We start from the raw sequence: 26,812 nt of genomic DNA, 5'->3' as shown, positions 1-26,812 counted from the left end.
TGATCACTTTGTAGATTACAAACTAGGGCAGAGAACGACTGGGGGAACCAGAGCGGTAGGGCCACAGTGCCTTACTGAGGGCCACCCTCAGCTCAGATTCAGTGCTTCCAAATCCAAGTTTAGGATTTCAGAGTTACCTTGGGCTCATTCCCTTCATATTGATGATAACTGATGGCATCCGGCCAGTCCTTCCTCCCCTGCCCCTCACATGGTCTTCTTGCTTTTCGTTCTAGTCCCACGCCCTGGTGCCGCGGGTCCTGAGTGTTTCTTCCCACTCCCCACCCTCTGTCTTTCCAGCATCCTCCTGGGTGGCCTCTGTACTTTTTCTCCCCTGTTAAATTACACTGGCACCTGCCCCTTTAGGTGGCGCCTGCCATTATTGACAGCGTGTGCGTGGAGTAGAAAATCCAATGAGTGACTCTTGTGTGAAGCGTCCTGGCTCTGCCCTGAGGGCTGGGGGGCCCGCACTGGTCCACTGGGCTTCTCTGGGCACAGATGTGACTTGGTGTGGGACCAGATGGCCTAGACAGCGTGTCGCACTTGGAGTCGTGCTTGGGACCCACAGGCGGCCGCTGCACCCTCACCACCTGCGTTTTGGGGCAGTGTCATGCATGCCACAGGCAGCCTCAGACCTGGGCATTGGTGCCTCCTTGGCCACTGGCCATCAGGCCTGCTTCCCTTGTGACATTTCACTTTGACCTTTCCTTTGAAGGTTTTTGAAGCAACACTGTACACGCAAAGGTCAACAAAGAAGAGTGGATGATAGGTGGACAGAAATGTAAGTTAAAAGGCAGGAAGTGAGGCTGCTTAATACAAGCAGGTTGGAGGGGATGAGCAAAACAAAAAATGCCCTTGAAATGATTCTTTAATCATTTGTCTTTAGAGACGTAAAGCGGGATATGGAAAACAAACATTTCCATTCAATGTATACACAGTTTGCAAAACAAATAACTGGGCTTTGTGAGTGTCCAGACCTCCTGGAAGGAGGAAAGCGGCTCTGGACTGGGCAATCCTTTTCCGCCTGAGTTCAGAGTGGAAGAAATTGGAGAAGCCGCCCCTCTGGTGGAATAGGTAAAGCAAAAGCCTTTCATTTCCTTAATGAAGTGTAATGCTTCCAAATTTGGCCCAAAAGCCAAACTGAGATGGAAAGGCCTCTGGGTGAGCGGGACTATCCATGAGTGAGGACCCCCCGGCAGATGTCTGATGGTCACTTCATTGCGATCTAGAAAGGCCACAGCCATGGCCAGCTCTTCACCACCCTGCATTCAGGCACCGCCAAGGGCTTTGGTGGTTGATGCTATAGAGCCTGGGACCTTTACATGTTTAAATGTTTTAAAATTAAAATCGGCCATAAAATGTCATTATGTTATGTTTTTATAATTTTCCCATTTTGTTTATGTTTGTAATAGTTTTAAGTCAATTTTAATATTTCTGGGCAACAGCCCTCAAGTCTTCCACCATCTGAATCAGGGCAGATGGAAATACATCAAACAATAACCTTATTTTATTTTTTAAACTGTATATTTGTATAGTACTTTGGTGATTACAAAATACAATTTTTGCTATTTTAATGGCAAAAACTGCAATTATTTTTGCACCAACCTAATACCTTCATATGGTATGGCAAAAACAGTTATCATTTTGGGTACTTAATCTTCACAGCACTTTATAAGTTGGCTACTAATGAGATGTCTTATACATTAAGAAACTAATAATAGTAATATAGTTAACATATAGCGCATACTATGCACCAGGTGCTCTGCAGTGCTTTACATATATAAATTCATTGAAACCTCCTCATCTTGCAAAGGAGAAAAGGGAGACTCAAAGAAATTAAATAACTTGCCCATCTTTTTTTTTTTTTTTTGAGACAAAGTCTCTCTTTGTTGCCCAGACCCAAGTGCAGTGGCATGATCATGGCTCACTGCCACCTCTACCTCCCTAGGCTCAAGTGATCCTCCCGTCTCAGCCTCCTTGGTTGCTGGGACTATAAGCACAAGCCACCATCTCTCGCTAATTTTTTTTTCCTGTATTTTGTAGAGACTTGGTTTTGCTATGTTGCCCAGGCTGGTCTCCAACTCCGGGGCTCAAGCCATCCATCCGCCTGACTTGGCCTCCCAAAGTGCTGGGATTATAGACGTGAGCCACCGTGCCCGGTCCCATCATGTTTTGAATCCAGTTTAACCTGAGAGTTTAACTTCTATCTGTCTCACTGTCTCTTGAGCCTCACAGGAGGAACAAGATGGAGGTAGGGGGGCGGGTGTGGGTGACACTGTCATTATCCCCGCTTCAGATGGTAGAACTGAAACAGCAACATAGCGTAACTTGTTCAAGTTCACACAGCGAGGGCAGGGCTTCTGATTCCTCATCAGTTCCGTGAGCAAATATGAAATGGGACATGGAAAGAATTTTTCTATTCAATGGCAAGTCAATAACGTTGCTTGATGCAAACTGCTAGGCCTTTGTACCCAGGCACGTGGCAGGCCGTGGCCTCCTCCTCCATGCTGAGTTCGGGGCAGAGGAGGTTCAGCAGAGGGACCACTGCACATAGCAGAGCAGCCATTCGTTTAATGCCAGAGGAACATGTGAATGAGCTTCCCCAGGATTCACAGGCAGGTGGGGAGCTGCTAGGTAATTTCACCTGCTGGCCCACCCAGGTAATGTGATTATGTGAATGTGGCATTCAGGGAGTTCTGTATGATGTTAGAAAACTTTTGTTTCTGGTTCTGTTTTTCTTTTAATTTGTGTAATGTGACCAGGACGTCTGTGGCCAGGCTAGCCAGCAGCCGTGTGCTTTGTTTGCTGGTTGGAGCCTGGCCAGCCATGGAGGTGGATCTGCGGGCCTTTGGGGCGACTCCTGCCTCAGCCTCCTAGAGCTCTGATAAGCACCGCTGAAACTCTTTGAGGTTCAGTGTTCTCATTTATGAAATGAGGACTGATGGTTGCTTTTCTAGGTATGTGAAAGACCTAGCACAGTGTCTGCTGCATACCAGCTGCTCAGATGTTATTGCATTACATTGAAGAATTTTTTAAAAATCTGTCTTGATAGTGCAATGTGTTGTTGTAACCTATCACTAGACTCACTGTGGGTACTCTTGAGAATGGGCTAGTGGTGATTAATCTGGTGTCCTTAGGAGCTCGATTTAGAAGGAGGAGGGCTATCATGTGATTATTGCAGCCCCCGCCTCATGAGGTCAAGCCCTCACACTTGCAGTGGGCCTGGTAGCTGCAGACATCCAGAGCTCACTGCCCCTAAGGCTGTTGCCATCAGGGGCCCTGCAGGGAGCAGAGTGCATTCTCAGGATGGGCAGTTTGAGGTGAGTTTAAATAAAGTGACTTTTTACAAAGGCAGGGCAGGGGGTTCACAGCCTGGAGTAGTGAGGGGGCCCTAACCACTTCTAACACCCTCAACCTGAGGGGAAGGGATGGTTTTGAGGCTGCACCTGGCTTGGTGAAGGGCCGATCTCCAATGAGACAGCCCGCAGAGAGGGTCCTCCTTCGCCTCACTCCTCCCTGCCAGTGCCCAGAGAGCTCGGGATGCATACAGGTGGGCCTCGTAGTGGGGAAGGCAGGGAGTGGCTCTGGGGGCAAACAGGATGCGATTTCAGACATGGGGCAGAGAGCCAGGTGCCCTCGGCTGAGCTGAGGACAAAAACAAGTCAGATGAGTTGTGCAGCCCACATTTTTCTTTGCTTTAGATAGGAGTCCGTTCTTAAAATGGAATCAAAGTGACTGGACAGAGACCCGTTTTGATGAATTTAAGCTGGTGGCTTGTTGGGTAATCTTCCTTCGCTTGCTTAGAAGCCTGGAGACCTGTGTTCAGGCGCGTCTGAGTCACTTGGTGTATTAGGACTTGAGTTGCCCTGTGGTAAAATAAAGGGACGGACTTGATCAGGGCTTATCAAGCAAGTGGTCTACAGGGCCAGGTAGCACATATTTTAGGCTTTGCGGCCACACAAGGTCTCAGTCTCATGATCATCATCTCCTTTTTCTTCTTTCTCTTTTTTCTCCTTCCCCTTCTTTAAAAACACAATCTTTTACAAATAAAAATCATTCATAATTCATGGTCAATACAAAAGTGGGCGAAGCGCCATTGTGTGTCAGCTCCTGGACTAGATCGTCACTCCCCTGTGTGCTTTGTGCACTGCTGTGTGCAAGGTGATTTTAGGGAATGCACATGCGTTTTTATTTTAATGGTATGTGAGTTCTAATGTGTATTAGGAAAAATAGATGACTAGCACCTTAAGAGTTCACTACCCATAGTTGTAGCTACGCGGGGCCCTCCAGGAAACAGTTGGCTCTCGCAGGCTGAGTGGTGGATGTGAGTTTTAAGACCTGATTCCAGGTAATTTTGGTGGTGCTCCATTTATGAGAGTAATACATCGTCGTGGTTTTTTAAAAATTTGCCTAAATTATTAAAAGATGGATTCCTTTAAGGAGAAATATTATAAGGGACAGTGTCCATACCACACAGAGCAGAACCTCACAGAAGAGGTACGGGGTAGACTGTGGTCTGGAGTGGATTAGATCAGCTCACTCCTCCCCAACACCACATTCCTTGATTATCCCACGTTTTAGATGTAGCCTGTTGGGAGCATTTCACATTGATGAAAATATTCTCAGCACTTTGAGAAGTTTTGTGTAAGTTTAGAGGAGAAAACAAGAGGGCAGAGCCATTTTTTCGATGGAGTCCTGACTGGCAGGTGCCAGGCATGTGGGGTGCCTGCCCACCCTGCCCCTCTGTGAAGAGCTGTCCCCTGGGTGGGAGCTCTTTGGAGTCAATCCCTCCTAGAAGTTAGGGCCACCTCACCCTCAAGGGCATGCACGTTCCAGCAACACAGCTAGTGATTTAGGCCCAGGAGAACAAATTAAGTCCAAAAAAAAAAGAGGCCAAGACTTGCAAGAGCTTGCTTAATTCCCTTTGGTAATTACTGGCTGTCAGTCTCCTTGAGCCTGAGCCTGTGCTGCTCTCCCGAGCTCCTGGCCACACCCGAGACTTATTTGTCTTTGTGGGCTTCTTTAGAACTGCCGCACTGTCCGGGTTGCATCCGTGGGAGGGATGCCCGCCTGCAGGGAGTTGTACCCAGCAGCTTGTAAACACCCAGGAGTGTGGCAGGAGCTTACCTGTCAGGTGTGCCTTGGCAGAGAAAAGGCTGCGGCCAAGCCCTTTGAGCATTCCGAACATTCAGTGTGGGAAGCATCCCAAAATTTGTCTCCCACTCACTGAGTTGGGCATGTCTTTTCCTATCCTCCCGGATGACTTTTTTGCCCTGGTAGTGAGCCCTGATGGCCTTAGGAAATACTGGGCTGGGCTAACAGACTGTTCCATTTTGACTGCCTGATGAGCTTTTACTCTTCTGCTTACCTATGTAAGCCACCCTATTCTTTTTGAGATCCTGGACCATAGGTATCCACAGAGTGAGAGGGCTTCCCTTCCCCCACACCCTGTTTTGACCTAAAAGCTTAAAAACCACGTGTATGGCATTATTTAAACCAAAAAATGCTGCAACCTGCCCCATTTTTATTATTCTGCGCCCTGTCACCATGAAATATTTAAGCTGCGTATTAAAACAGGAGCTTGTATTTGCAATGTAACAGAACACCAGAAGATGAGGCGGCAGTTGTAGGGAGAGTTTATCAAATAGGAGCTAATTTCACCCTCGTGAAACTCTCAAAGCAGAATGACGGTTACATGTAATAAATAGCTTGTGCAAGTAGAGTGGAGAGCCTCTTACCAACGGCAACTGGAGCCATGATGATTGATTTCTAGGGGAGTGGGGTGGTAGAGTTTTGACTTGAAGCAGAATTAAAGTATGTGGGAGAAAGTGCTGCCTTAGCAACCGAACTTGAATAGAAGTTCAAGTTCAAATCTGCCTGTCATGGTTAGTGGGAAAACTATACTGGGGTCCCTTTGGATAGGGCTCCTCTTGACTTTTTTTACAAAAAATAGTTTTATAAATCTGATTTACATAGTATAAAGCTCACCTATTGAAAGTATAAATTCAGTGATTTTTAGCAAATTCACAGGATTATGCAGCCATCGCCCTAATTCTGGAATATTTTCGTCACCCCTAAAAGGAAACTCGTACCCATTAACAGTCATTCCCCACCCGTAGCCAAGCCGTACACAACCACTTATTTCCTTTTTATCTCTATCCTGGACATTTCATATAAGTGGCATGACACGGAATGTGACCCTTTATGTCTGGCTTCTTTCACTTAGCATCGTGTTTTCAAGGTTCATCCGTGTTGCAGCATATGTCAGAATGTCATTGCTTTTTATGGCTGAATAATATTCCTTTGTCTGGATGTACCACATTTCGTTTATCCATTCAGCAGTCGATGGACGTTTGGGTTGTTTCTGCTTTTTGCCTATTATGAATAATGCTACTGTGAACATTGGTGTACATTTTCATGTGGACACTTGCTTTCCTTTATCTTGAGCATTGACCTTAATGGAATTGCTGTATTGTACCTCTGTGCACTTTTTGAGGAATCTTCTTAGTTGTTTTGTTCTTCCGTTTTGAATTGTAAGTATTTTTTAATTGTGGGACAATACACAGAACAAAAATTACCATCTTAGCCATTTTTAAGTGTGCAGTTCAATCACATTAACTACATTTACATTGTTGTACAACCATCGCTGCTGCCATCCTTTTCTTGGGTTTTGGCGAAACAGTCCACACCATCTCTTAGGCCCCAGAAAGGATAAATAACTTTGGCTTTGACTCAGCAAAGAGGTGGGTTAGTAATGATCTAACTCACTGCCTTTTGAGAGGTGTGAGAGTCTAGACAGGGTGATGGTTCCTTGGCCCAGAACCGCAGGATCCCTTCTCTGTATAGATGCTGCTGCGTTAGGAAGCTTTGGATAAGAGGAGCAGGATGGGGATAACTTGAAGAGGCTGCCCGAGAACTGGGAGCAGGGAAATGGTAAGGTGGGCTACTGTCTGCATCCTGGGGGAGCCCACCGGGCATGTTTGAGGGACACTGTCTTTCCCGGGCTTTTCTCCAGGGCATAAGTAGGTGCACAGAGGCTTCTTTTTGTGTGTGGTGGACTGAGATCCACCTGTGTCCTGGCAGATGGCAGAAAGGGATCCTGAGTATAAAGGTATGTGGATCAGATTTACTGAGTCACTGGAGAGTGTACAAGTGTGGACCAAAGTGTGTAAGTGTGTTTAAGGAAGACCGTCATAGACCTATAAGAGGTCCTGGAGAAGGTGGGCCTAGACCATCAACAGCAGGCCCCCTCTTCCCCACCTCTTGGGAGGCCAATGCCCTGGTGCTCCTTGAACCCTTTGTGCTCCTCCAGGCCCTGTTCTGGGAACGCCTGCTGGGTCTGTTGGCCCTGCCCTGAAGTACTCCCCAGGCCTCCTTTCTCTCTCTGCTGGCCATCTTGAGATTACCCTGCTGTATTGTATTTGTATTGTTTGTATTGTACTCATGCATCTTCATGAGCAGCTCTCTTATCTTCTCAGTAACATAGTCACCTCCTCACTGGAAAGGTCTGTATTTTATACTCTTTTGGGTTAAGTCACTGGCAGACAGAAACATCAATATCCTAATTCAGGATGGATGCCACAGTCTGCCCAGTTAGCTCATTAATTAGATAATTCTTTAAAAATATTGACAAACCATTAATTAAGAGCTGATTATTCACACATCAAACAATTCTTCACTTAAACTAGAGGATTTCTTTAAATAGCAGCTCCCCCTGGCTGCATTTATCTCTTTGTGTAGTTTATTAGCTATTTGGCAGAGAAATTTCAGAATGCCAGCTACAAGCCAGTGCAGTTGAAGAACAGAATGTAATGGAGGGAAAGTATTTCTGGAAGCATGTCATTTATTCAAAGAAATTATCTAAGAATGTATTTCTTTTGAAAAGTGCTTAATATATTTATATATGTAATCTCTATTTATTTTCTTAAATAATTCTGTGAATGTAGCAGTATTTTCTGCATTGGAGAAGGCAGGATATTGAGATTCAGAGTAATTTGCCCAGGCTTATTCAGCTAGTCCATGGTTGAGCAGGGATTGATATCAATGTCTTCCTCAGGACCTGTGCCTCCTCATCCCATTGCCTCTGACTGCATTTGCTAAGTGGGAGGATCGTCCTTGCATCTAATTAAACTTGTACTATAATTTCATTATGGCTCTTGCCCTAGGGGAGCTATTATAAGTCTGGCATAGAGTTTCAGTAGTATTGAAAATAATGGAGCATCGTGGATTTAGAGTTAGACGCACACACTGAGGTTTGAGCCGAGATTCCGCTTCATAGAACCTACTTTATGCAGCTGGTTTTTTCACATGTGAAGCAATTGTAACAGCTGTATAACCTTCAAAGGCTTGGCTTAAGTATTAAATGAGATTACATACTCATTTAAGAAGAAGTGCCTTAGGAGAGGGCACTGGTGCATCGTAGGCACTTAATAGCAGTGTTAGCCTTTGTTATTATTATTGTCAGTGGGCCTATAACTGACTTCACGGGTGCATTTATTGTTGGCTGAGCCAGAGGTGAGCTGTGCAGGATAGTTGGTGAGAGCATGTCAAATGGAAGGCGGGAAATGACTGAGTGGAAAATCAGTGTATTCTTCCAGACCACCCCTTCCTCCAGCCCTTGTCCTCCCTTCCTCTTTCTCCCCACTATTTTCCTGTGTTAGTCATGGTTTTCCTTTTACCATCTTGAGAGGATTCTGGCATTCCGTGACTGTGTGGTCCTTCCAGCTCTCCGAGCTTAGGACTTGGTGTTTTTAAATTCTCATTGGCCGGCAGAGCATCACTTGGAGAGAAGCTGCCCTCCCCATGGTGAAAACTGCCTCTCACCGGCTCAAGATGGCCTTCCCCCAGGAGCACCAAAACCCTGTCTTTTTTGTGACAGGAGGACTTTTTAATAAATTGGCAGTGGTGCCTTAGTTTCAGAGTTGAGCTACCTTTCCTGAGCATCAGCATCTCATCCATAAAGTGGGGATGGGTATCCCTGCATGTGCTGGGAGACCCATGGACAGCACAGGGTAGTGCTGGCAGTCCCGTCTCTTCAAGCTGCCCATCTTCTCCATGCTGCCTGCAGGGCGAAGGCATCCCCAACAGTTGGACAAGCTGTCAGTTTCACTCTTAGAAACCAGAGCCTGGATTCATTGCGATGGGAAACTTGTCTTCGTCTCCTACGTCTTTTCATCCTTTACTGCTGTTCTTCCCCTGTTTCTTCTTAGTTATTCTCCTATCTGGTTCAGGGACATCGAGGGTGTTCTCCAGGGGCGTGATGACAGAGTTTCGCTTTCCTGTAAATATGTTTGTGCCTATTTTGCAGACAATATTTGTAATTTTTAATATTACAATTTAAATAGTGAAACATCAAAAAACCCACTTAAGTAAATTTGTAGAACATTTTGCCGTCCACCGTTGCACACGGTAAGGCAGGCTTTCTCTACCTTGGCACATCATGGATCATTCTTTGTTGAGGGAACTGCCCTGTGCATGGTAGGATTTAGCTGTATCCTTAGCCTCTGCCTGCTAGTTGACCACCATCCTTCAATTGCGACAACCTAAAATGTCTCCAGACATTGTCAGATGTCCTTCAGGGACAGAGTCACCCCCAGTTGAGAGCCACTGCACTGCAGCCCCCGACTCTGTCCTCCCGGCCTCTCTCGTTGCCCCTTTTGGAGCCATCATTAGATTTACACCAGTTGGTTAGAATGGCTTTCTCTAGCCTTTTGCAGTGCACAGCACAGAAGGAGTTTGTAGCCTTTTCTCAGAGTATTTTGCATCTCAAAGGAAGGATGAATCATGCAATTTTGAGCCAAATGGTCTTTTCCTGGGTGCAAAATGAGCTGGAGTAATTTTAATTATTGAAGGGCTGGAGGTAGGATAAATATCTTACTGTTTCTTCCTTGACCACATTTCCTTTAGCATTTGTAAGTATTATAGAACCACAAATATTATATAGATTGTGTGGTCTTTTCAACAGCTTTTGCGTTTACATTTTATTGCTGCCTCAGGGATTGGACAGGAACTGGTATAGGTTCCAAATAACAGTGGAACCATGACAGATATTAGAAATTAGGAGAATACCACAACAATGATAACTGTGCGAGGTAATGCATATGTTAGTTGGCCAGGTTCAGTCATTTCACAGTGTACCGGTTGAGGATACCTTATCCAAAATGCTTGGAACCAGGAGCATTTCGGATTTGGGATTTTTTCAGATTGAACTATTTGCATTATACTTACCAGTTGGACATTCCTAATCCAAAAAAGTCTGAAACTGAAAATGCTCCAGCGAGCGTTTCCTTTGAGCATCATGTTGGTGCTCAAAGTTTCAGATTTTGAAGCATTTCAGATTTTGGATTTTTGGATCAGAGACACCCAACCTGTGTATACACTTTAAAATATGATGTTGTACATAGTAAATACATACAATTTTGTCTGTCAATGTGAAATATAAAATGAAATAATCTTAAAGAAAGTAGGGGAAGAACTATTGACATTCTCACGTGGAGACGAATCCATTCTATGAGTTTGCCTGGGAACTGTTGAGTAACAGCTGGAACATTCACTGTCATCAGGTGAAGGACAGGGCGTGATCATTGGGAAACTGGCAGGCTGAGAATATGCTATGCTGGGATGGAACTACGGAAGTCAGGAAGTGTGGGTCCGTCAGGAATGCAGGGGAACGTGATACTTGACAGTTTTGGTTTCTAGTACCATCCATTTGTGAGCCTTGCCATTACTCTGTATTACTGCAGTTAACAAGAGTCTGGATAAATCTAAGATTTGGACTTTCAGGACTGGAAGGCTCAAGGACAGAGGGGATGCCCCCGTTTCTGTGGTCCAGAAAACCCTTTGGGAATTGCAGCTTTCAGTGTGTCTGCAGAACAGCCGCTGGGATGGTCAGCCATTGATGCAGTCCGGTGGTGCCATGTGTGGGGCCCATCACAAAAGGGGCAGAAGGGCCTCAGACCTCGAGAGCCTCAGAGGGCAGTTCTGGATTCTTCGGTGATGCCTGGGGCCTGCCCTTGTGGTTCCAGGGACGCTGAGGTCTTTATTGTGCACATTAGGTTTTGATTTCTGTCCTCCATCACTCTCCTTGAACAGAAAAGTTATTTCAGTCTCTTAGCCCAATGCTTTTAACAAAAAACTCATGGAAATTTCAAGACAATATTTATGTCAAAGGATAAATTAAACTAATTGTAGTTTGCCTTTTCAGACTAGAAACCCCCTCTTTTTACAACACTCTGACACCCCCGACATATCCCCTCGGGAGCTGCCTGGGCTGTTCCACAGGAATCTGGCCATCCCAAAGGGCTTGACTGTCACCAGAATCATTGGTTGTAGCTATTGGTTGACTTCACAGAGTTCTCCCCACTGCCTTGAACTGTGGTCCCTTGTAGCTTCATTCTTGATACCCCCTCAGCGCGTCACCACTAACTGTGACGTCGACCTCCTGCTGGGAAGGAGCACCTGTGTGTATAGTTGGGGTTCATTCTGTTTCTCCTTGTTTCATGCAGTTACTTTAGGAGATGAGAAGTGTGCTGCCGTCATTAGTGTTTGGTCCGTTCTTAGTTTTTGAAGAGGCATTCCCATTAATAGAACATTAACTCCTCAAAGATGGGGATTTTGGTCTAGTTAGTTCACTGCTGCATCCCCAGTTTCTGGAACTACACCTGGCACTCAGTACATAACTGTTGAGTGAAGAATAGGATAAGAACAGGCGAAACCGCTTTGTAAGTTGCCAAAAAGTTGGGCATTATGTTTAATAAAATAAATATAAAGATTTTTTTAGTGGTTCTTATAAGTGTACTTAGTGGAAAGACCTGACTCCTTTTGATTTATAAATCGTTCAGTGGGATATGTTTTCTGATATTTTGGGGTTATTTTATGCCCGGATTTTCTCTTGGCCTGCCAGGTGTCCACTGTAAATATACAGTCATGAGCCCCATAATGATGTTTTGGTTGATCGTAGACCTCATCTATGACAGTAGTTCCATAAGGTTATAATAGATCTGAAAAATTCCTGTTGCTTATTGATGTCTTAGCCTTTGTGACATTGTCCTGCTACACGTTACTCATGTGTTTTTGGTGGTGCTGGGGTTAACAGACATACTGCATTGCCAGCCATCTAAAAGTATAGCACATGCAATTAGGTACAGTACATAATCCTTGATAATAAATGACTGTGTTATTGGGTTTTTACTATGTAATAGTAATACATACATACATAGTAATATATATGTATATATTAATGTAATATAATTAATTAATGTAATATATGTATGTATATATTATGTATATATGTAAATACTAGGTATTTACTATACTATTTATCGTTATTTTAGCGTGTAGTCCTACTTACAAGAAAAGTTAACTGTAAAATCACCTCAGGCAGGTATTTCAGGAAGTATTTCAGAAGAAGGCATTGTTATCACAGGAGATCACAGCTCCTTGTGTGTTCCTGCCCCTGAAGACCTTCCGGTGGGACAAGACGTAGAGGTGGAAGACAGTGACATTGATCATCCTGGCTATGTGTAGGCCCAGGCTAATGTGTTTGTCTGCATCTTGGTTTTTAAGAAAAAAGTTGAAAAAGTAAAAAAAAACAAAAAAATTCAAAATAGAAAAAGCTTATAGAATAAGGACATAAAAAATATTTTTGTACTTCTGTGTAATGTTTTGTGTTTTAAGCTGTGTTATTATGAAAAAGTAAGAGTTTTAAAAAAAAGGTCCGGGTGCAATGGCTCACGCCTGTAATCCCAGCACTTTGGGAGGCCGAGGCGGGCGGATCACAAGGTCAGGAGATTGAGACCATCCTGGCTAACACGGTGAAACCCCGTCTCTACTAAAAATACAAAAAATTATCCGGGCGCGGTGGCGGGCGCCTGTAGTCCCAGCTTCTTGGGAGGCTGAGGCAGGAGAATGGCGTGAACCTGGGAGGCGGAGCTTGCAGTGAGCCGAGATCGCGCCACTGCACTCCAGCCTGAGCGACAGAGCGAGACTCCATCTCAAAAAAAAAAAAAGAGTTACAAAAAAGTTTGTAAAGTAAAAATGTTGCGGTAAGCTAAGCTTAATTTATGACTGAAGAAGGAAAAATATTTTTTACACATTTAGTGTAGCTTCAGTGTACAGTGTTCCTCAAGTCTCCAGCAGTGTGCAGTCATGTCCTAGGCCTTCACATTCACTCCCCGTCACTCACATTCACTCCCCCTCACTCACATTCACTCCCCGTCACTCACATTCACTCCCCCTCACTCACATTCACTCCCCCCTCACTCACATTCACTCCCCCTCACTCACATTCACTCCCCCTCACTCACATTCACTCCCCCTCACTCACATTCTCTCCCCCTCACTCACATTCACTCCCCCTCACTCACATTCACTCCCCCTCACTCACATTCACTCCCCCTCACTCACATTCTCTCCCCCTCACTCACATTCTCTCCCCCTCACTCACATTCACTCCCCCTCACTCACATTCTCTCCCCCCTCACTCACATTCACTCCCCGTCACTCACATTCACTCCCCCTCACTCACATTCTCTCCCCCTCACTCACATTCTCTCCCCCTCACTCACATTCACTCCCCCTCACTCACATTCACTCCCCCTCACTCACATTCACTCCCCCTCACTCACATTCACTCCCCCCTCATTCAGATTCACTCTGCCTCACTCACATTCTCTCCCCCTCACTCACATTCTCTCCCCCTCACTCACATTCACTCCCCCTCACTCACATTCTCTCCCCCCTCACATTCACTCCCCCCTCATTCAGATTCACTCTGCCTCACTCACATTCTCTCCCCCTCACTCACATTCTCTCCCCCTCACTCACATTCACTCCCCCTCACTCACATTCACTCCCCCTCACTCACATTCACTCCCCCTCACTCACATTCACTCCCCCCTCATTCAGATTCACTCTGCCTCACTCACATTCTCTCCCCCTCACTCACATTCTCTCCCCCTCACTCACATTCTCTCCCCCTCACTCACATTCTCTCCCCCCTCACATTCACTCCCCCCTCATTCAGATTCACTCCCCCTCACTCACATTCACTCCCCCTCACTCACATTCTCTCCCGCTCACTCACATTCTCTCCCCCTCATTCACATTCACTCCCCCCTCACTCACATTCACTCCCCCTCACTCACATTCACTCCCCCCACTCACATTCTCTCCCCATCACTCACATTCTCTCCCCCTCATTCACATTCTCTCCCCCTCACTCACATTCACTCCCCCTCACTCACATTCACTCCCCCCTCACTCACATTCACTCCCCCTCACTCACATTCTCTCCCCCTCACTCACATTCACTCCCCCTCACTCACATTCTCTCCACCTCACTCACATTCTCTCCCCCTCATTCACATTCACTCCCCCCTCACTCACATTCACTCCCCCTCACTCACATTCACTCCCCCTCACTCACATTCACTCCCCCCTCACTCACATTCACTCCCCCTCACTCACATTCACTCCCCCTCACTCACATTCACTCCCCCCTCACTCACATTCACTCCCCCTCACTCACATTCTCTCCCCCTCACTCACATTCACTCCCCCTCACTCACATTCACTCCCCCTCACTCACATTCACTCCCCCCTCACTCACATTCACTCCCCCCTACTCACATTCACTCCCCCCACTCACATTCACTCCCCCCATACACATTCACTCCCCCTCACTCACATTCACTCCCCCTCACATTCACTTTCCCCCTCATTCGCATTCACTCCCCCTCATTCACATTCACTCCCCCCACTCACATTCACTCCCCCCTACTCACATTCACTCCCCCCACTCACATTCACTCCCCCTTCACTCACATTCACTCCCCCCTACTCACATTCACTCCCCCCACTCACATTCACTCCCCCCCATACACATTCACTCCCCCTCACTCACATTCACTCCCCCTCACATTCACTTTCCCCCTCATTCACATTCACTCCTCCCTCACTCATATTCACTCCTCCCTCACATTCACTCCTCCTCACTCACATTCACTCTCCTCCTCATTCACATTCACTCCCCCCCACTCATATTCACTCTCCCTCATTCACATTCACTCCCCCCTCACTCATTGACACTCAGGGCAACTTGCAGTCCTGCAGGCTTCGTTCATGGTAAGTTCATGGTACCAATTTTTATCTTTTGTATCTTATTCTTGCTATACCTTTTCTATGTTTCCATTCACAGATACTTACCATTGTGTGACTGTTGCCTACAGTATTCAGTACAGTAACATGCTGTACAGGTTTGTAGGCTAGGAGCCAAGGCTATCCCATGCAGCCTAGGTGTGCAGTAGGCTATCCCACCTAGGTTTCTGTCAGTACACTCTAAGTACACTCCAGGATGTTCACACAAGGATGAAATCGCCTAAAGGTGCATTTCTCAGAACACATCCCTATCATTAAGTCATGACACATGACTGTATTATAATATAGCCACATGGTGTCACAATCACACTTTTATAGTCCCCACGTACCCCTGGAAGCCCATCAAGAGTAGTGTTGGAATGCTGCTTGCGATATTTATGAAACAAATGGAATTAAACTCTTTACGTCTGAGGCGTAGCATTGCATTACTCTGCTTTTAACAAAGGAATTTTCAAATCTCAAAAATTACAATAAATTGGTTGGAACATTCTTGGATTAAAGAAAAGCAGTGTTAATGAATTTATTTGCTATGCATTCCAGTCCCATTAATCCTGATGAGTTCATCCTGGCTTAACATATGGCATGCCTTTCTTTAGACTTTTAAGTTTAGCATGAACTGCTTTTATACCACGACAGGAGACTATGACTGGAGCAAGCGTTACTGTGGCAGGCTGCTGAATTCATGCCTAAGAGGCAGGAGAGCAGCGTTCTTCCTGTTGAGCATATATTAAGCTTGGCTGTGTTCATTTCACTGGGCAACCTTACAAGCAGTGGTTCTCAAACTGTTGGGTCTGGAACCCCTCTGACACCCTTAAAGAGTATGGAGGACTCCAAGAAGCTTTCCTTATGTGGGTTGTGTCTATCAATACTTATGAATTGGAAATTAAAATTTTGGCCGGGTGCAGTGGCATACCTCTGTAATCCCAGCACTTTGAGAGGCTGAGGCAGGTGGATTGCTTGAGCTGAGGAATTTGAGACCAACCTGGGCAATGTGGCAAAACCCTGTTTCTACAAAAAATACAAAAATTAGCCAGGCGTGGTGGTGTGCACCTGTAGTCCCAGCTACTTGGGGGGCTGATGTGGGAGAATCACCTGAGTCTAGGGAGGTCGAGGCAGCAGTGAGCCAAGATTGTGCCACTGCATTCTGTCGCCTGAGTGACAGAGTGAGACCCTGTCTAAAAAAAAAGAAAATTAAAATTTAGAACAACTTGAAATAAATGTCTTAATTTACCTAAAATAACAAGGATTAACCCATTTTGTGTTACTATAAGTAACATTTTTATGAAAAATAGCTATTTTCCAGAACAAAAAAAAAATCAGTGAGAAGAGTGGCATTGTTTTACATATTTGCCAGTGTCTTTAATGTTTAGCTTATGGCAGCTGGATTCATATATGTGCTTCTGCATTCAGTCAGTTTGGACGTGTTGTTTTAGTTGAAGTATATAAGGAAAATATGGCTTCACAGGGATGTACCTAGAAAGGGAGGAACACTTTAGTGGCCTTTTCAGGTAATTGTAGATATTCTTCCTTGATACTATATTAAAACTCCACAGGCAATCGTGGGTTCCGCTGTGGAATCTGAAGCCATCTCGGTAAGCTCTTTGTTCTAAAATAATGGGTCTGTCCTGCACTTCAAATCAGTCTGCACATTTAGGATTCTGTTTTACTGAATTACGTGGATCTTCCAAATGCTGGCACATTTCATCATATATTTTTAAAATATCCCATTTGTTAACATCACCCCCAGTGTCATCAGAAAATTCAACTTTTAGGGAGCTGTCCACATCTTGGTGACGAATACAAGTTTTCTGAAATTCCCATTTTTTTCTTGAAAGTTCAAATTTTATCACTCGCAGCAAATGTTGTCAGTTGTTTCCCTTCTAGATTCTGCCCGCCCCCCCTTTTTTTTTCCAGAGTTAACTTTTTAAACTACGAATCCCAATCATGGCCCCTTGGCAGCCACCCTGCAGTGGGGCACCAGGATGCTGTGTCCCTGGTGGGCTGTGAGCCTGACTTTATCAACCTTCATGGTTCTCGGTGCTCTCATGGTACATGATAGAGCATCAAGAAATAGCAGTAACTGACAGTTAGGGACATTTGGTTGTGGACTGTGTTTTAAATACTATTGAATTAATGTTCAGTTCCACTGGTGTGATCATGGCATTACAGTTTGGTAACACAATGTAATTCTTTTTTTTTTTTTTTTTTTTTTTTGAGACGGAGTCTCGCTCTGTCGCCCAGGCTGGAGTGCAGTGGCGGGATCTCGGCTCACTGCAAGCTCCTCCTCCCGGGTTCACGCCATTCTCCTGCCTCAGCCTCCCAAGTAGCTGGGACTACAGGCGCCCGCCACTACGCCCGGCTAATTTTTTGTATTTTTAGTAGAGACGGGGTTTCACCATTTTAGCCGGGATGGTCTCGATCTCCTGACCTCGTGATCCGCCCGCCTCGGCCTCCCAAAGTGCTGGGATTACAGGCGTGAGCCACCGCGCCCGGCCCACAATGTAATTCTTAGCAGTTACTTATTGACATATGTAGAGGTCAGTTGTCATGGTGGCTATAGCTTGCTTATCACGATGGTCATGAGGAAAGCATATATTTGTCTAAAGAGGGATAAAGCAAATATGGCAAAACATTAAATATTGGGAAGTGTAGATAAAGAGTAAGTATTCATTCAACTTCTGTAGGTTTGACATTTTCAACATAGAAAGTGAAAAGGAATGAAATATCAGTGTGGGATGAATTATCAATGTATGAAAGACGATGTAGGTGGGAATAGAATAAGATTCCAATTGTGGGAAATCTGGTTTGCTGCTGTCTAAGTTATAAAACTGTAGCTGTTGATTAGCATCTTTATGTGCATTTTTTGTGTAATGATAATCTTGTCTGGGTTCACATTAGGTGCAAATCATATTTCAGACAGCTTAATTAAACCTCTTCAGCTCCTGGGTGAGTGCAAGAATCTGTGCAGAGTGTAAATGGTAAGATTTAGAAAACAAAGGACTTTATATGCCATGCATCTATGAGGTTCTTCGTAGCGTGTCCTCAGGCTGCGTTCATACCAGGTACTCCCAGTCACTGGCCAGCACGATTCCATTCCAAGGCAACAAGGTCCTGCATCCCAGATTTAGGATAACCTTCTGCCCATGCTGAGACTCTTGGTGTTACGGGCACGTGTATGCTTTGTGCTGCCATGGCAGCTGTTAATAGTACCCATAGAACTCCATCACTAAATTCTCGATTGTACGAATTGGAGTCCAAGTGTTTTCAGAAGACACCAGCTAAGGTTTTCTGCCCCTGCTGGCCTTGCTGGTCAATACCAGTGTCAGGAGCGGACTCGTTCCCCTTCATGGCGCCTGACCGGGGCCTCAGAGCTTTTGCATGCCTACGACTATGCCCTAGATTTGTGGAAATTGCCGGTGTGACGCTTTTCTATCTTCCTCTTTGAAATATGAGAGTCAGTTTCAGAGGTAAAGCGGTGGAATCTCTGGTGCGGAGGGCATCTATTCTGGCTCCCCATCTTCTCCCTGAATTCCCCCGATGATGCCCCATGGTGGGCCCCTTTGCCGTCAACCCTGTCTTCAGTTGCTGTTAAGGTGGCATGTGCTTCCCGCTGCAGGGCTGAGCTGAATCCGTTTTCACTGTACCAGCCACAGACTTAGAGATTCTGAGGTTGAAACTGAACATATCTGATGGCTCTTCCTTGCCTTTCAGGATTCTGAAACCTTCCTTGTATCCCTCCTGAGACATCTTTGCTGCAAGATCGAGGCTGTCCTCTGGTGAGAAGGTGGTGAGGCTTCCCGTCATATTCCAGGTACAGTCTGCCTGTCAGCACGACAGCAGAATATATGTTATTCTGTTTTGTACTAGAATATGTTATTCATTTAGACTGCTAGTTGTCTGTTGACTTTTTAAGTTAACTGTCAACTAAAACCCCCAGTTGTCTTCTTTTTTAGATTTCCAAATGCTGTAATTTTTCAGACTCATGTGGCTACCTGTCCAGACCCATTGACCCAGCAGAAAACAAGCTTGTCTTCTCACTTTAGTGTGTTCCTTAAATTCCTGCATTTCCTTCAGACAGAACTCTTCATATCCTACGGCTGGCCAGGCCTTCCGTCCCTGAGGCCTGGTCACCAGGGTAGGCTCTGGGGAAGGATCAGCCTGGAGCTGTCCCTCATCATTCCTGGCATGGACATTGGGCGCTGTGTCTCGTGCTCTGTGTGCCACCCAGCTCCTGGGCACTGGCTTGCAGCACAGCGGCTGTGATGCGTCCTGCCATGTTTCTCTCTGTGACTCTTGGAGTCTTTGCACTTCTCAAGGTCAAGGGCTGCTTCCAGTTTTCTTCCTGCCCCAGAACTTTTCATCTTGCTCCCATTCTTCTCACTCTTCTCCTTACTCCTCTTTCTCTCCCTTTTACTTAGGAATTCTGCTGTAACTCGTTCTTGGTTTAGGTGCTGTAACCATCTGCTCTAGGGCAGTGGTATTTCAGGCTGTTCCTTGCAGCTTGAGAGTTAATTCCAAGTGGGCATAAGAGCCAAGTGGGGCAGGGGGGCGGTCAAGGCTGGCCAGTGAGGCTGTCTGTCCCCTAACTCTCTTTAAATATGAGTAGCTTCATTTTTATCTGATTCTTCTATTTGGGTTTGGCATAGCATGTAGTTTGGGTGCCGAGACCAGCTTGGTCGGAGACCCTAACCCAGCGGCGCTAGAGGAATTGAAGAAACACACACAGAAATATAGAATGTGGAGTGGGAAATTGGGGCTGACGGCCTTCAGAGCTGAGAGCCTCGAACAGAGATTTACCCACATATTTATTGACAGCAAGCCAGTGATAAGCATTATTTCTATAGATTATAGATTTACTAAAAGTATTCCTTACGGGAAACAAAGGGATGGGTCTGGCTAGTTATCTGCAGCAGGAACATGTCCTTAAGGCACAGATCGGTCTTGATAATGTTTGTGGTTTAGGAACACCTTTAAGCGGTTTTCCATCCTCGGTGGGCCAGGTGTTCCTTGCCCTCATTCCGGTAAACCAACGACCTTCAATGTGGGCGTCATGGCCATCATGGACATGTCACAGTGCTGCAGAGATTTTGTTTATGGCCAGTTTTGGGGCCAGTTTTTGGCCAGATTTGGGGGCCTGTTCCCAACATTTGGGAAAAAGAGTTCCACTATAAAATACTTTAAACTAATTGCTCTGGTCATTTTTCCATTAAACTAAAAATGTTTACTGAGTATGGAGTCTTCATCATTATCATTGATATTTTATCACAAAAAATAGAGGGAAAACTCTTCAGTTGAGGGAAAGTGTGTGTGTGTGTCTGTGTGTGTGTGTGTGTGTGTGTGTGTGTGTGTAATGACCCTCACCTGACTTGTCTCCCACTCTCTTACATTCTTAACAGTCATTTGAGGCAGTTCATATCGTTAATTCTGAGACTATGGCTATATTAGGAATGCACACATACTTAGGCTCAGCAGCCCACACAGAGTTCTTAATCAGAAGGACTTCTGGGGGATATAGCCAGTGACCTTTGCCACATGTAAGCAACTTTGAGCAGCCTGCCTTGAAATAAGAATTAAGGAGGAAGGAGGGGCTGCCCATAAGCTTCAAGTTCCTGGGGAGGATTAGGCTATAAGTAAGCACCTTGTTTATGAGGCTGCTACTACCTTGTAAATGTCAGAAACAAAGGTGCAGAATTACCAGGTGCACCTTCCCAAAGGCGGTGGGTAAAATTAGCTGCTGGCCAGCAGGGAAGTGGGAGGACATTCTGCACAGGCCAGAAGCCACTGTGTGTTGGGGTATGTGAGCCTTGAGCACCCTTTTCTTTCCTTCCCTGTTTAGGTGCTTAATTAGTAGCATGACTTAAATTAGAGTGAGTTCATTCTGCATTCTTCCCCGCGCCGCCCCAGTCAGATGTGTTTCTGCTGTCTTAACAGACTATTTTAGAACATCTTCTGGTGTTACCTAACACTGGGGCTGGGCGTTGACACCTGAGTGAATAGCCTAAGTCAGAGTCTTCCGCTTCTTGGGCTGGGCAGTGCATTATCAAGGTGTGAGGGGAAGCCCTTGGGTGGTGTTGGGGCACAAGTCTTGAACCCTGTCTGAATTGGGGGAATTTATGGCTTACTGGGCACCGCCATGATGTCATCTTTTCCTGTTGAAGAGAATCAGGCCAGGTGCCAGATGGTAACATAGTTGCCACATCTCCTGGAGGCCTTTCGGTCTTGGCCACGCTTGTTGTTTGGTTTATCACATTCTGTCTTCTCTCTTCTGTTCTGTTCCCTGCTCTTCCTCAGCCTCTGCAAAGAGGGAGGGCACACAGTAGGTGCATAATAGGTGGTTGTTGCATGGATCGATCATTGTGAACAGTTACTTGCTTGCTTCTTTCTTTCCAGACTGTGCACTCTGAGGGCAGGGACGATGTGTGGTCTCATCTTTATAGCTCCCATAACTTCCTACGACCATGGCCCAAGGAAGATCACCCAATTTTTAAAAAAATGAAATAACAGCTACTTAATGTATGCCATTTTTCCAGGAGGAGGAAATTACTTTCAAATCATTCAGACTCCATTAAGATGAAATAGCTTCAGGCGAAGTTGTGGTTATCCCCACCATTGAAGCAATGTATTAAAGAAAGGTTGCTGCTCTGGTTCTTAGCCCCCCAAGGATTCAGTGAGCAAATGAACACCAGTTCACTCATTATCACACAAGAGTGTTTGGACCATTTATTAGTCATCTGTTTCTCTGGCTTAAAACAACACACATCTTACTTTCTCAATGTTTCTGTGGGCCAGGAATCAGCAGGAGTCAGAGCTCAGCTGGCGCCTATGCTTGGGGTCTCACAGGGCTACAGTCTGGATGCTGGCCTGGGCTTGGTTTTCATCTGGAGGCTTGACTGGAGAAGTGTCCTCTTCCACATTCCCTCAGGTTGTTGGCTGAATTCACGTTCTCTAGTTGTAGAACTGAGTCCTGGCCTCTTTTTGGCCGACATGCAGGCTGCTGTCAGCTCCCAGAGGCCACTCGCAGTTCCTAGCAGCTGCCTGCATCTCCCAGAAGCCATCTGCAGTTGGTTGTCACATGGGCTTCCCCAGCATGGCTGCTTGTCTCATCAAGCCAGCCCAGCACAGGTCACCTTTCCTTAATCCTTGAAAGGGGGAGTTGAAAAGTGATTTCCATCTGCTGTCTATTTTTATAAGAAATTATTTTGCTCCTTGATTTTTTTTCTACATTTGTCCCTGATTTTAAGTCTTCTACAGGGTCACAGCCCCACAGGACTCATTTACCCTTGCAGCCAGCATGGATGCCCTGAGCCGTCACTGGCCCTGCTGGCTGGTGGGTGGCTCTGGAGTGCCCAGTCCGACTTTAGGAGCGAGGTGGGTTAAATGGCTTTTTGTGAGCTGCCTTGGAATTTAACTGCAGTTTTGTCATGTTGTTTGTATACGAAAATGTGGTCTTGGGTCTCAGATGACTGGCATGTCAGTGAACTTTTAGCAGGCAAGAGGTCCTTACAGTAGGTTTTTCTGTGGCAGTGGAGACTGCAGAGAATATTATTTGGGGCATATGTTAAAATGTCTCTTTTCAGCCTTTAAGAATTCCTTAAAAAACAATAGAAGTGGCTGGGCATGGTTGCTCACATCTGTAATCCCAGGACTTTGTGAGGCTGAGGTGGGTGGATCACTTGGGGTCGTTCAAGACCAGCCTGGCCAACATGGTGAAACCCCGTCTCTACTAAAAAAATACAAAAATTAACTGGGTGTGGTGATGTGTGCCTCTAGTCCCAGCTACTCAGGAGGCTGAGGTGGGAGGATTGCTTGAACCCAGGAGGCGGAGGCTACAGTGAGCCGAGATGGTGCCCCTGCACTCCAGCCTGGGCTACAGAGCAAGACTCCATCTCAGAAAACAAACAAACAATAGATGTAACCTGTGCTCTCCTTTTCTCCTGATTCTGTGAAAATGTAGAGTCTGACTGTCACAAAGCCATAACCAAAAAAGGAACAATTTTGATTATGCCCGGTTTGGAATATTTGAGTTGAATGTTGGCATATTGAGGGGCTGGCTCTGGGGTCAATTTGGGGTGGCACTCCAGAGTGACAGTGTGTGGTCATGGTATTGGTCTGGTGCCTTCGATGAAAGCAATGCAGGTGGCACTGCCTGTGACAGATGATAAAATATGGACCACGTGGTGTGCTGAAAGGGCCACTCCACCCTTCACCCCCTCTGGCACTCTCATGCGGTGGGAAGGAATGGCACTGGTCCCGCATCCTGGGCTGCCTTGTTCTTCGCTGGCTTCCTCCTGGTCCACGGGTACGGTTTTCTCCTGGTCTTTGATCATTCAGGTGAGCATGCGGGCAATTGGCCATTTGTTTCCAGATACCTGAAAGGAATTTCAGGTAAATTGAATTGCATTCTCCTCTCTGATAGAGGCTATTCTCTTAGTGCCCACTAGCACGTCCGCTCCACGTAAAGAGGAGGCCTCCTCATTAGAAAAGTACAACCAGTACTTGTTGAAGACTGAAGACAGGCAAGGTGGTCAGCCAGGCCAAGAGGCTGTGACATTCCTTTCAGATTAGAAGTCAGATTAAAAGTGTGTTCCTTCTGGAGTGAGTGTCTGAAATTCTGGTCACCAGTGAAAAAGTGTGGTTGTGAGTAGGGCAGGAAGACCTACCATAAAATGTGGCGTTTCCTGGTGGGAATTACTTATGCATGACATGAACTGCGTAGATAATCCCCATGGTAACTACGGGTGTGTGTTTTACGTGTGTGTCAGGGCTCTTTGAGAATAAAACAGGGACCGGGGAACAAATAGATCAATATGAAAGGTCACAGCATTTGCTTACGCAAAGGTGTTATATTAGTTGGATTAAAATATTGTGCTGTAAGGCAAGCATATTGATTTCCTACCTAAAAGGAGAAGGCTGGACCTTGAGAAGCTGGAAGTCCTCGTGCTCTGTATTTTTCCCCTCCGGTGTTTCTTACATAGACCAGGTTAGTCTGCCCAAGATCATGTTTTATGGATGCTCTTCCTTTGCTTAAAACTTTTGCTTCTAAATAAAGGTGTAAATCCCTTAGCTGGCCACTGAAGACCCCTAAAGGGGCCACCCTGCCCTGCCCCAAGTCACAGATCACAGACCAGGGTGCCAGCCTCGCCCGGTTACTGACATGCCACCTGTTGTCCAGTGGGCATGGGTTCCATCTCCCCAGTGAGGCTGTTACCTGTCAAAAGGTAAGGAAGGGGTGAACCGCAAAATTCACTTGCGTTCCTTCCAATGTATAGCTCCTAACCGTGTGTGCCTAACGTTTTAGACAGCACCAGCTTTTGAATAGCCTGTGAACTACTCCTAAGTCTGTTCTTTGGTACTCATATCAGCTTTTCTGGTGGAGGCTATCGGGTGAGAGAGGGTTGCTTTTCAGTCTGACTTGCCATTGATTCAGACTTAGGCCCAGAGAAGTGTCTCAGGACACCACCGGGAGAGTTAAGGACAGGTCTGCCTGTTACACTTCCGTGACTCTTGGCTGTTTTTCTATGTCATTATCAAATATGGCTGAATATTGACAGTTTCATAGGGCTCAACCTAATCCCATATAAAAGACGCTTTAACTAGTTAACATGTGGCTGTCACTTACAGCATTTTGGGGCTGTCCTGGCACTGGGGTTGTGGAGTAGGGTACTTGGTGCAGGTAGTGGAGTTTCCTCGGTGTTTTTTGGGTCAGCCCCAGACGAAGTCCTTTGTTTTTACATTTAATTTTGGAAATTTCCAAACATGCACAAATGAGAAAAGCATAATGAAGCCCCGTGTACCCGCTTATCAGCTTCTCCTAGACAGACTCGAGGTGGGCTTGGCTTGTCCTGGGACCCTCATGCCTTCCTTTGTTCTCCCTCTTTGTTGGTTTCATTACAAGAGATTTTCTTTCCCTTAATTCAGAAGCATTACATACTCATTATTTAAAAATTGTCGAAATATGGAAGGAACCACTCATAATCTTCTGTCTAGAGACAAATGCCTCACTTCTTCCTGCACTACAATTCTTTGTATACACTTATTTTTATGTTATAATTTTTTTTAAGGATTGCTATAATGTTGTTTTGACACTTTTTCTCTAATGTAACACGTAATCCATCTGCTTTATCTGCCACTTCCTTCCACATACCCTTTCCAGGCCTCTGCTATCTGTATCCTTTCCACAACTTTCCGCCGAAGCCCCGGTTGGGTCCTGCAGCCAAAATTACCCACTTTTCCTCAGTCCCAGATAAAGTTCCTGTTACCTCACAGCCAGCGGGTCTTGGCTAGCAGCTGGCTGGATGGGAAGTGGATGGATTACGTTGATTCACTCCACGGCATGAATAATAATGGGCTTCATTTTTACAGGGGTATCACATTTAAGAAGAGGTTGTCACTTAACTCATGACTCTTTTATATTTGTAGGATTTCAGACAGGGTAACAAATAAAGTAAGAATTATCAGGCAGCAGGGAGAATGAGCTTGGTCAAAGTTGAGTCAGTTTGGCACCTGGCAGGGAATAGGGTTTCAGGAATTAGATGACCTGGGTTCAAATCCTGGCTTCACTATTACAAGTTACGTGACAGCAGGCAATATAATCTGCCAGCTACACTCCGCGCTCTTATTCTTACAAGAGGATTAGCAATTGTGACTCGATTGCTTCCTTGTGGGGATTTAATGCAGCAGTGCATGTGTGTGGCGTGGAGCTGGTGTTGTGTGATGTTGGCTGTTTCTAGCAGGCCCCGCTCACTGTGAGGCTGTTCTTCAGGTCATTTCCTGGGCTGTGCCCCATTGTTCATAGCTTTTCTTTGTCTCCTCTCGAACCAGTGAATTTTCTAGGAGTTCCAAGTTTTTTTCACAAAAAAAAGTTGCTCGTGATGGTGGGGAGACTGGGGGAGAAGTGAAAATTTCCAGGAGTTTATGGATTAAGGTGTTCCCAGGCCTATGTGTGAATTGGTGGACTGCCTGAGTTTATTAAAGGTTTGTTGAGTGAATAAATGAGTGAGTGGGAAAATATCAGTCTGTGAATGTCCAGTGAAAATTAAGTTAGGTTGGCATGGAACCCTCTGCTTTGCTCTCGTTTGCAATGCTGATTCTCCTTTTGCTTTTGGAAGAGGAAATATTTAGAAGGAGGGAAAGAAAACTAATTTAACTGCCAGGAAACCTTAGAGGCTCAGAAAATTAAAGTGCCAGTGTTCTAATCTTGGGGGAACTTTGTTTAAAACATTTCTTTTTAAATAAATGAACAAATTTGTTTAAAGAACAAGTTTCTTCTGAGATGTGAGAGCCAGTTCCATAGCCATTTCCAAGGCCCGAATGCAGTGCCGGCAGGGAACTTAAAGCCTGTTTCGTGGAAGCTCCCACTGTGTAGGGCCAGCTCCCTGGTTGGTTCTGGCTCACTGACGCTGCACTTGCGAGGCAGTGGAGAGTCTCCCTGCGGACCTGCCCACAGGTTGTGCAGACTGATGTTTTCTTTCCATGCTGCCCAAGTGTGATGAAAAGGCACGTGTCAGAGGAGCCCTGGCTCCAATAGGATAGGATAGGATAGGATACCTGTTTTTGTTGTAACACATTTCTGCACACAGGGCGTGGGCGTCTCTCCTGATGAAGCACCGCCCTCCCGAGTGATGATGGAAACACATCGAAAGACATCAACTCTCCACTC

General features: G+C 45.7%; 1 protein-coding gene across 5 annotated transcripts in view, besides 1 other annotated feature; it reads left to right on the top strand.

Annotated features, from left to right (window-relative positions):
- SLC7A1 (solute carrier family 7 member 1) overlaps positions 1-26,812 on the top strand; it is an 86,275-nt gene that overhangs the window by 22,964 nt on the left and 36,499 nt on the right. For 4 of the 5 annotated variants that reach the window (XM_047430551.1, NM_003045.5, XM_047430550.1 and 1 more), the window contains exon 2: positions 18,865-18,964. The gene's annotated coding sequence lies outside the window, so the exon portion shown is untranslated. Of the gene's footprint in view, positions 1-18,864; positions 18,965-23,063; positions 24,134-26,812 lie in introns of those variants that run through there. The other variant, XM_047430552.1, reaches the window with a different exon arrangement.
- Positions 4,529-5,034: an enhancer, noted in NCBI's record as "H3K27ac-H3K4me1 hESC enhancer chr13:30141828-30142333 (GRCh37/hg19 assembly coordinates)". NCBI's record gives its function as "activates a minimal SCP1, AML or CMV promoter by ChIP-STARR-seq in naive H9 embryonic stem cells {active_cell/tissue: H9 hESC(naive)}" and the evidence as "EXISTENCE:reporter gene assay evidence [ECO:0000049][PMID:30033119]".

Source organism: Homo sapiens, chromosome 13 (genome assembly GCF_000001405.40).
Source record: "Homo sapiens chromosome 13, GRCh38.p14 Primary Assembly".
Taxonomy (NCBI): Eukaryota; Metazoa; Chordata; class Mammalia; order Primates; family Hominidae; genus Homo; species Homo sapiens.
Note: the sequence above shows the minus strand (reverse complement) of the source record. Positions and strands in the feature narration are given on the sequence as shown.